An 11,670-nucleotide genomic window follows, 5' to 3' on the forward strand; every position below is an offset into this window, starting at 1 on the left:
ATACAAAAATGTCAGGTTTTGGCCGGGTGTGCTGGTTCTTACCTGTAATCCCTGCACTTTGGGAGGCTGAGGCAGGTGGATCACTTGATTCTGGGAGTTCCGGACCAGTCTGGGCAACATGGTAAAACCCTGTCTCTACAAAATTACAGAAAATTAGCTGGGCCTGGTGGCACATGCCTGTATTCCCAGCTACATGATTGGCTGAGGCGGGAGGATCGCTTGAGCTCAGGATGTCAGGCTGCAGTGAGCCATGATCACACCATGCCACTGCACTCCAGCCTGAGCGACAGAGCAAGACCCTGTCTCAGAAAAAAAAAAAAAAAAAAAGGGGGCAGGTTTTCTACTAGAATTTTAAATGTCCCCTGCCGTATCTTAACACTTGTCTGCTCTCAGGCAAAATTTATAAAAATGGAAAAATGTATCCTATGCCAAGTGCTTCTTCAAAGTTTCATTTCCCCTCCTAAATCTGCTTCCTTTTTTGACTCTCCAGAGGCTGAAGATTGTTGATTTGGATTTGTTCAGTTTATAGTTGTTATCTGCTTTTTTAATTTGCTTTTTTATCTTTTTATTTGAATTTGAGAGTTCTTTATATATTCAGAATACAAATCTTTCATCAGATTACACATAAGTAATGTTTACGATGTTATATATTATGTGTATATGGAATATATGTATATATGTACTCTACTGCAATAGAATCAGTCTCTTTAGAAGCTTGCATAAGAGACTGACTCTCTTGATTAACTTGCTTGACTGAAGTCACACAAAGAATAAAATATAGAGGTTGATTATACCCCATGTTTGTGACTCTAACAACCACACACTCTGTCTGCTATGTAAAGCAGCCCTACCAGGAAACCCATCTAACCATACTCTAGTAAAGCTTTGCTGGGTAGAGAATCTCATCTGCCTCAAGTGCTAAAGCAAGGGGGACTGTCTGTGTTACAGCATCCCCTTCTAGTATCTTTCTTATTGCTGATGGCAAACAATGGCAGGTGAACCTCTTCTCCAAGGCATCATCTGACCTAAGAGGACAGCATCTGTGTGACTCAGAGATTTTTTTAACAAAGATTGAGGAATAGTTAGTAATAACATATACATAGTTTCAAAATTAAATGCAAGCAAATGTGGAGAGATCTCTCAAAAATGATTTTTTTTCCCTTAGTATCTCATTTAGCACAATGGACTGAGTGGATATAATCCAGGATGAAGTCACAGATGATACTGTTTTATTTAAATTGGTCATTTCTAGTCTCTGTGATTACATCTTCCCAGGTCCCTGTACTCTCAGGAGTGTCAGGAAAGTAGGCAATAATTGCATCATTCTTTATATGTGTCTATAGCTCAGGAAGCACTGGAGACTAATGAACCAAGTGCTCGTATTTCCTTTATTGCAATCTTCTTGCCTTAGAGATTTCAAGCTGAGGAAAAGTTTGGAGGGTTTCCTTTGTTGGGCATGGGGTAGGGTGGGAAGGGGTGGAAATTCCATTTATTTTTAGCACAGGAAGCCATTATAGCAGTTACTTAACAGGTGTGTCTGTAGGAATAGGTTATACCGATTCCATTCAAGCCATAACTCATTGTAAGTACTCACCATCTCCTAGGTGCCTATTTGAACATCACTGTCTCTGTGCAAAGAGGGAATGCTGCTGCTCTTTTAATCTAGTCACTTGATAGAGATAGAGTTCCAAATACTATTTGTACCCCTATTATGGAGATATCACACATGGGCACTTGTGGATTAACTTATACATTTCAAATAAAATAGAGATCATGATGTGACAGGTCCACTGAGGCCAGCACAAAATGCTGCCATGTGACTTGGCATCATGGAATTTTTTCATTTTGGAGCTTAGTCTGAATGAGAAAAACAATGTTATATCAGGCGATAGACCCCTTTGTATCTTTCATTCATGGGTTTAGTAACTAAGTAGCCACACGTAGAATTTTGTTTGGACCTTTGATGACCTCTTAAAAAGCATGTGTGGGCCGCGCCCGGTAGCTCAGGCCTGTAATCACAGCACTTTGGGAGCCCGAGGCGGGCAGATCACCTGAGGTCAAGAGTTCAAGACCAGCCTGGTCAACATGGTGAAACCCCATCTCTACTAAAAATACAAAAATCAGCCAAGTGTGGTGGCGCATGCCTGTAATCTCAGCTACTCGGGAGGCTGAGGCAGGAGAATCAGTTGAACCCAGGAGGTGGAGATTATGGTGAGCAGAATCGCGCCATTGTGCTCCAATCTGGGCAACAGAGCAAGACTCTGTCTGAAAAAAACAAAAAACAAAAAAAACATTTGTGTAATTTTATGTGAGATGCCCCACAGACACAGATATGCCTATTTCTTTTTGTTCTTAGAGGCAAATGCAAATTATTAGCAAGAGAGAGTCTTATGAATAACAGAGAAGAGTTTCCCACTTTTAAAACTGACTAAAATGCACAGCGTGTTTTGAGAGTGAAAGAATTGGTGGTTTTAGCTTCAACTTCTTGGCAGCAGCTGAAATTTTCACATGTATGATGGAAACAAAGATCCATCCATGCCCCCAACACCTCTTGCCAGCCTGAGTTCTCGGCCCTGTCCTCACTGGCCATCCTCCCTGGTTCATGGCTACCCCATCTTGCCAATAAAAATATCACCGTGGTGGTGAGACGGAAGTTTTGATTCTTGGGTCTCTGCATTTTTCCCTGTACCAAGTGTATTTATCACACATGGTAAGAGAACTGGGAGGTCTGAAAAACTGGTGCTGCCTTCGTATTTTCAGAAACCAGCTACTGATTTTAATCTGCCTTAACTCTCTCTGAATCTGATACACAGGCGTCTCAGATGCTGCTACTGAGGGCTTTTACCTGTTGTATATTGACAAAAAATTGTATGTAATAGGTTTTAATATATAGGCTCAGGGATTCAGAGAAAAACAGAAATAAAAAAATAAAGATTAATTGAACTTTTTCTTAACCTACTAACTTCTACTAACCTTAACTTCTAATCTTCTGTATGTAAAAAGATCACACAAACATGACATATATCTCTATCTAACTAATATCCATTACTATGATAACTAAAGGCATGTTTCAAAATCAGTTTTAAGGATCCTGACTTAAGCTGAAGGTTCGTAAGTGCAGTTCCAGATCTGGTAGTATAAAAGGAAAGAGAACAGTGCTGTTGTTTTCAAAAGCCTGAATGTGACTGCGAGATAAAATTTATATTGTTTCTCTCTGGGGAAGAGAACCATAATATGAACATGGTGTTTAAAAGTGGCAGAATATTTATGTATATATATAATAAAAATGATGTGTATTGGACCAACTTAATATTTTTATGAGTCATTAAGCATAGGTATTTTTTAGATGCATATTTACTTTCTATATCTTTCTAAAATACCTATTCATTATGCAATATCCCTGCTCAAGAATTTCACAGGCCCTATAAGGTCTAGAGAAAAATATTTAAACTCCAAAACCTGGTCTACCACCAATTGCATCAGTTTACTTTTCTATGTGTACTTCCCTTTGCTATCCCTACAGTAACAATTTGCTTTGGTTAATGGCCCAAGTATGCTCACCTGGTCATATCATGCTCATTTCTGTCCCTGAATTGCCATCTAGAACTTCTCTGTCATTTTTTAGGCAATCCAAATCTTATGAGCAACAGACTGTTGAAGGCTCGGAGTCAAACAGACCCCATCTGATCCTGACTACCACTCCCAGGCATAGGACCTCAGACAAGTTGTTCACTTGGCCAGAGCTCAATTTTCTCATCTCTAGATGGAAATAATAATGATTAATTATGCTGAATGAGATCATGCATATAAGACAGCCTAGTAAAAGCTCTGGCATACAGTGTTGAATAAATCCTAATTTGCTTTATCTGTATATTCCTTCAGATTTAAAATAAATTCCACCTTAGCTGTGAAGAGCACTCCTCTTACCTCTCACCCTCACTTCAGCTAGTGATAATTTTTCCACTTATGTTGTTTTAGAGCACTTTTTGTCAGACACATTCATTTCCCTGAAAACTGTCTTTTTAATCTTGGGATCTTAAATGACAGAAAGCATGTAAAGTGCTTCACACAAGACTTGATATCTAGTAAGTGCTCCATAAATATTTCTGTGGCTGCTGCTGCTATTGCAAAGGCAACAGTCACTCATATCCCTAGGTTGGCAGCTCATCTGCTGAATGGGTTATGTTTGTTCCTGAAAAAAAGATGCAGTGAAGAGTCAGGATTAAGGGTTTACTTTCTGAATTCAAGTTGCCCGGATTAAAATCCCAGGTCTATAATTTTTTAAGCCATGTAACTTTTGACAAGTTACATTACCTCTCTGGACTTAGAATGCCCATAATAGATACCGTTCCCATAGTTATTATGAGAATTAAAAGAATTAAGACAATTTAAAAGAAGAACAGAGGATATTAGAGGCAGGGAAGAGGGGTGAATAGGGGGATAGGAAGGGATTTCTTAAAGGATACAAAATTACAACTAGGTAGGAGGAATAAACTCTAGTGTTCTAGACCACTGGAGGATGATAACAGTTAATAACATATTAGATAATCTCAAATACTAAAGGAAAGATATCGAATGTCCCAACATAAAGAAAGGATTGATGTTTGATGTTATGGATATGCTAATTACCCTAATCTAATCACTACACATTGTATGTATTGAAATATTACTATGTATACCATAAACATGTACAGTGTTGTGTCAATTATAATAAATTGATTTTTCTTTAAAATAAAATGTAGGAAGAAAATACTTGACAAATAAATACTTTATATGCATTGGCTATTGCTGATTTTTTTTAGCCTTTTCAGTCCTGATACCTCAAGTATTTTGAGAACTCCTAAGGACAAAGATATACACTTGCACTGATCCTATAATTTCATGAGGACAAAACGAAATATCAGATGGCAAAGGGTAGGTCTAGTACAATGCCTGGAGCACTGTGAAAGCTTTATAATAACTAGTTTCCTTCCCCTTACCTTATCCACCACACTGAGGAAATAGTTCTAGAAAATGCTCTTTGAGCATTTTTTGAAGGGAATAAATGAATATTGATTTTTTTCCTGTATGCCAGGGAACATCATTAAATATAAAACAGTATAACGCAGTATAATTCAAAAGACTGCCTGTTATTCCACAGAAATCTGGTTTGGTGAAATTATGTCATCTTTGTTGTATTACTAGTATCATTTACTGTGTCTTGACTGGCCCAAATCTTCCTGGCTTATTTTGTTTTGGAGCCCTGAGTTGCAATATATTATTTAAATCAGACATTGTCTTAATTTTCTTTTAGTTTCACCTTCATTATCCTTCTTGTTTTCTCTTTTTCTCTTCTCTCTACTGCTGACTTGCATTCACATTTAAATGTCATTGAATTGTCACTAAATGGCAAAATAGCTTTCCTTTACAAAAGGCTAGCTAGAATTCTTCTCAGCTGCTTCCATCTGCAAAATTTCCAACATTTCAGCATTTCACAGGTGAGGCTGTGAGATCAATACAGGGGGAAGAAACTATCACTCTTCATGCCTTTGATCTTGAAGTCATCTCAAGTTTGACATGTGTAATATAAAGACCTGAATACATCTAGAAAGTGATAATGTATAGGATGACTAAAACATGAATTGCTAGGTTGACTCCATAATCTTTTGTGTCAGCAAGATTAAAGAAATCAGTATAGTATGATCCAATTGGGAAGGGTTAGGTTCAAACCCTGGCCTTTCTACTTACAAACTGTATAATTAGAGTGAAATAACTTCTTAGCTTCTATTGATACAGGCGTGAAATGAGGATAGTAATAGTTCCCATGACATAAAGTCATCCTTTGGGTTAAGTAAGATCATATACATTTCTAATGTCTATAAAGCACTTAATATATTAGTTGTGGTAATATAAGTACTATAAAAATGAAAATTCGTATGTTATGATTAAATAATGCCAGAAAAGAACTCATTCTAGAGCAGTGGATTTTCATTTAGGTTCTGCCTTAGGTTAGATTTCCTGAAACAGACTGAGATTAAAGTTTTCATTGAGAAAGTTTATTAGTGAGCCACTTGGGGTCAACACCTATGGGAAAGTAATGGAAGAATGACTGGATATAGTTGGGTTCTGATGTAGTGTCAGTAAAGACTTCAGCTGATATCATGGGGAGCTCTAGAACTGGGATGACCCTTCAGTGAGGTCCCCAGTTGAGACAAGGGGCTGGGTCTTTCTACCCCTGCATAGGCCTGATTTCAATGTGGTCTGCCCCTTGGGAAGGACCTGATCTTGGTTCTCTGCTGCTGAGGCTAGTAGGAGACAGGTTCAGCTTAAAGCTTTTCTTCTCCAAAACTTCCCACAGTCTTTACTAAAGAGAGATTGGGTTGCACACCACAGTATCCACTATGGGTTCCTAACTATAAATTTGTAATAACTGTATGTGACATATTGTTGTATTTTATTACTCCTTTTGGACAATATGTTCCCTGTGGGTAAGAGCTATGACTATCCTGACGGCCTAGCACATAGGGGAAAGTCAGTAAATACGTCCTAAATATAATGAAATTGTTTATAAAAACTATCCTTTCAAAAAAAAGATCATCTTACCTCCAGTTAATTAGAAAATATATCCTGAGACATGCAGAAATTACTGACATATTCACACTGTTGTATCAATTTTTCCTTGTAACTTAACTAGAACACAAAATGCAGAGAGCAAAACTCTAATATGCCTTATTTGGATATATGATAGCAAGATATAAACTACAAACATTCACAAACAATTTATTATCAAATTTGGTAATTTTTAACATTGTTTACTAAATCCTTATCTTCTGAATTAATGGTAACATGGAGAGATGGATGAATAATAATGTGATAAAGTAAAATATTTATTATAGAATCCAGGAGGGGCCCTTATAGTGACTAATATATTATTCTTTCATATTCTGCACATTTGAAAATTTTCATAATGGAATTTTGGGGAAAGAAGTTTCCTATTATCATTAAGTTGGCTATGTGCTTATGAAAATATTGAACTGGGATTGTCCTTAAATAAGAGACAGGGAGCTAGTGTGAGCCAAGCATTTTCCATGCAGAGGGCTGTAAGGCGCTAAGGACATCTCTGGTTGAACAAACTAATAGTCTGTGTTTCTATTTGTTCTGAGTTTCTATGTGTTCCTTTTGGGGTAGTAGGTGAAGAAGCATCTTGTAATAGTAACAGGTATACTATGGAAGGAAATAGCAAAAGAAGATATCTCCTGTTGAGAACAAGAATCCTAAGACTGAATAAAGATTTGTAAAGAGGCTTAAAGATAATTGGCTCTAGATCACTCATTTTAAAGGTGTAGAAATTGAAATCAGGAAGTTGAAACAACTTGTTCAAAATCATCCAGCTAGTTTGTGTCACAGATAGACTTTATTTCTCCCGGAAAAAAAAAAAAAAAAAAAAAAAACTTCTTCCTTCTACTTCTCCCTCTACCAACACACAAACAAGTATCATAACACCACGAACTATAATAAATTCTTTTTCGGGGGCAGTAGCAGCCATTTATGAGGTGCCAGGTGGAGTTTCCCTGCCTGAATATGTCATTCCACTGATGTATCATAATTACTTAAATTACTCGATTTTTTCTAGGAATACAAAGCCTGAAAATATTAGTTGAGTGAGTTAGTGAGTATGCAAATGATTGAATAAATAGTTGGTTATTTATTAAGCCATTATCACTCTGGGCAGAATTGGTTATTAGCTTAACTAATGAGTCACACGGAAACGAAGAAATGGGCCCAGGACAGGCAACTTTTGATAAGGAAGAGGAAAAGAAAGTAAAATTTGGTGAAAGCTGGGAGTGATGCCTGGATGGAGGCAGGCAATGGAAGTCTTTGAGAAGTGTGGATGGCAGTGGCAAGGACGATGGCCAAGATGGGAGAAAGGCCAATGGGGCCAGAGGCTAGTAAACGGAGAAGGAGATTATCTTTTTATTTTCCAGATGTCTCACTGTGTCTTAGAATCCGCTGTTATGCTGAGAGAGCACAGGGAAATGGTAAGCCTCTTTGGGGAACTTGTAGTGGGGGAATGCCTGACCTTTTCAGAAGCGGAATTTGGCATGGAGCCCAGCTCTAGAATAGGTTGCTTTCCTTCACTTACTCCACTCTTAACAGCCAACTGGTTTGTTTTGCTTGCTTCTTTGTTTTCGTGTTTGCCATTGCCTTAAAGGAACAGTCTTCAAATTTCTTTTCAGTTGTGAAGCCCTTTCTTCACATGGCATCTTGCTTGTAAGTTCTGCATGTAAAAGATACAATTGGGTGGCTCCACTTGGGGTGGAAGAAGCTGGTGTGGGAGGACCTAGGGCCAAGTCCCCCACCCCAAGCACACCCAGTCTTGAGGAACCCTGAGGAAACCAGGGACTCCATGGTTAGGAAAGGACTGTCTTAGAAAAATAGGCAACACATCGTAGTCATCTGAGGCCAGAAGAGAAGTAATTAGAATGTTATTTCTTTAAGTACCTTGAGCTTTCTAAGTATGAAAACGTTGTCTGCTGGGACTCTTTCTTATTGTTTCAGAACAGGTGGGATGTGACTGATAAGCTTGAGTAGTTTTTATTTCCCACCAAAAAAATGAGGCCAATGAGGCCAAAATGATATTGAAAATATATATTCAAATAGGTTGCAATGTCTGCTCTGATGTGGCGTAAGTATTCCCTAAATCGCGGAGGTGAAAAATGCATCTTTTATACGCCTCTCAGATTAATGACCTCAGAGCCTCATTTCTGTCTTTTCAGAGGTAGCTATTATTGTTATTATTTTCTATTTATTAGTTAAGTTAGAAGTTTCAAACCATGTGATATCACATTAGTGCACTCCTCAATCCTATGTCTTTGCAGTTCCCATCTTATCCCTTTTTTGAACATGTATTAGTAAATATCCTACTTCATTTGGCATGAATGGGTGTGGGACATTCCTTCCCTCTTCTGTTACACTTCAGTTCCTTCCTGCAACTTGAAGAAAACATTTATGGACTACAAGATTAAACACTGACTATATTTCCTTTATAGCCATCCTTCAAAAATCATTTACTCAAAGAAACAGAAAGTTCTTTCTTTTACTTTCTTTGTTTTTATGACTGATAGATTCTTGGTGGGGTAAATCAATTGCTAATTTTATTTTTTATTGTTGAATTATTGCTGAGATGTCTGCTGCATGCTTGGTGTTACCAAATTGTTCACCTCACTCTTGAAGCTGCACCAGATTCTTCATGTGAGACACTTGCAGCATTCTCATGTCATGGTGGCTGATTCCCCACCAAAACAAACCAGTTGGCTGTTAAGAGTGGAGTAAGTGAAGGAAAGAAACCTATTCTAGAGCTGGGCTCCATGCCAAATTCTGCTTCTGGAAAGGTCAGAAAAGGGGTGGGAGGGAGAGAGGGAGGGAAAGAGAGAGAGAGAGAGAACCAGGTGGAAGCTGGTTCTGGGTTGCCTGTACACCAAGAAAAACGATGTTATAAAAGTTTCTTATATCCTGAGAGGTTAACAGTGTCAGTTCAGAAAGTATTTTTAGAAGATTTTATTCATCTCTGAAGTAAGAACAGTTTTATTGGTAATAGAATTCATTTCTAGAGTTTGTAACAGAAAAATGTTACCACTAATTGAAATACAGTTGGAAGAGGAACCAATTTAATGAGCAGTTACACCGTTTGCTTAGAGAAAGTATTGAAGAATAGAAATCCATAGTTGTGTAAGATGGAAAATCTAACTGTGCTTGAGATATTAGATTGAAAAGCAATACAGGAGGTCTTCAATCTTGTGAACACTGTTGTTAGTACTGTGCTGTGCTCGTCAAAGAATATGCAACGTGACAGGGAATTGTATTTGATAGATATTTAATACGTTTAATTTTGTTTTTTTTTCAAATTTGCTGTTTCCATATGTTGTGGACTTTTATTGTTTTGAGAATCTTAATATCCAAATCATTTGTATTACACAAATATAAATAATAAAACCTTTAAATCCTTTTAGGAATTATTAATAATTTCCATTATGTATAGTTTTAGTAGAAATTTAAGCCAAGATTTCTAGCCTCCCTCACCAAAGGGTAGATCCATGAACAAAATATGACAGTTTGGCTTTCCTTTGACTTTGAACTTTCACCAGGATGATACAAAACCAGAATAAAACATCTGGAGTTGATCCATTCCAGTAGAAGCCCTAGGAAGGATGTTGTAGTGGTTTCAGTATGTCTGCAAATCCTTTGACACCCCTCCCTTCAAAAGATGGAAACTCATTCCTTTTTCTTTGATTTTGGCAGACTTAGTGACTTGCTTCTAATGAATAGAGTGTGTAATTTCTGTGTAACTCTCAAATCTAGGTCATAAAAAGGATACAACTTTACCTGATTTGTTTTCTTTTTCTTTCTTTCTTTCTTTCTTTCTTTCTTTCTTTCTTTCTTTCTTTCTTTCTTTCTTTCTTTCTTCTTTCCTTCTCTTTCTTTCTTCTTTCCTTCTCTTTCTTTTTCTTTCTTTCCTTCCTTCCTTCTCTCTCTCCCTTCCTTCCTTCCTTCCTTCCCTTCTTTCTTTCTTCCTTCCTTCCCTTCTTTCTTTCTTTCTCTTTCTTTCTTTCTTTCTTTTCTTTCTTTCTTTCTCTTTCTTTCTCTCTCTTTCCTTCCTTTCTTTCTTTCCTTCCTTCCTTCTTTCTCTCATCTCTTTTTCTTTCTCATCTCTGTTTCTAAAAGGAATCAGCACTGTGCTGTTCGGACACTCAAACTGACCTAGAGGACTTGAATGTGAAGAAAAACTGACGCTCTTGCTAAAGTCCAGCACTAGCTTGACAGCCATGTGAATGAACCTCATTGGAACTGGGATCTCTGGCTCTGGTTAATCCTTCACCTGACTTCAGCTGTGGCCAACATCTTTTTTTTTTTTTTTTCCAAGATGGAGTTTCCCTCTCGTTGCCCAGGCTGGAGTGCAATGGTTCAATCTCAGCTCACTGCTACCTCCGCCTCCCAGGTTCAAGCGATTCTCCTGCCCCAGCCTCCCAAGTAGCTGGGATTACAGGCATGCACCACCACACCCGGCTAATGTTTGTATTTTTAGTAGAGACGGGTTTCTCCATGTTGGTCAGGCTGGCCTCAAACTCCCGACCTCAGGTGATCCACCCACCTTGGCCTCCCAAGGTGCTGGGATTACTGGTGTGAGCCACCGTGCCCGGCCTGTGGCCAACATCTTGGTGGTAACTTCATGAGACACCCTGAGACAAAAACAGCCAAGATGCTCCCAAATTATTAACCATTGAAACTGTGAGAGATAATGGTGCTTATTGTCATTTTAAGCTACTAAGTCTGGGGAGTAATCTGTTAAATTGCAATAGATAACTAATAAAGTTGTGGACTCACCCCTGCTACCAGGACTTTTGGGAGCTTCTTGGTTTCTTTTTGTTTCTTCAGTATCTGTCACTCTTCCGTTTGGCTCTGTAAGCTTCTCTCCCTCCAACTCCATTCTGCCAAAGTCAGTTTCAAGTGCTTGCTATTAAAGAAGATAATTTTAAAACAGTAGAGATTATTAACTGAAACCAAACTAAGGGAAATAATGTATTTTTTGTTTCCTTGCTTGGTTGGTCTGGTCTTGAGAAATTTCAATTCAATGTCTTGGTCTACTGTGGATTTTATTTTAGTTGTTTAAATTGTAGTGTTATGTATCCACAT

The 11,670-nt window shown here is 37.9% G+C and overlaps 1 long non-coding RNA gene across 1 annotated transcript; it reads left to right on the forward strand.

Moving 5' to 3' along the window:
• The first annotated feature begins 7,703 nt into the window (after window positions 1-7,703).
• LOC124909355 (uncharacterized) lies at window positions 7,704-11,375 on the forward strand. Its single transcript, XR_007095846.1, has 2 exons — window positions 7,704-8,018; window positions 10,702-11,375. It is a non-coding gene; the product is annotated as an uncharacterized LOC124909355 (long non-coding RNA).
• Window positions 11,376-11,670: the final 295 nt, after the last annotated feature.

This window comes from Homo sapiens, chromosome 3, assembly GCF_000001405.40.
Source record: "Homo sapiens chromosome 3, GRCh38.p14 Primary Assembly".
NCBI lineage: Eukaryota > Metazoa > Chordata > Mammalia > Primates > Hominidae > Homo > Homo sapiens.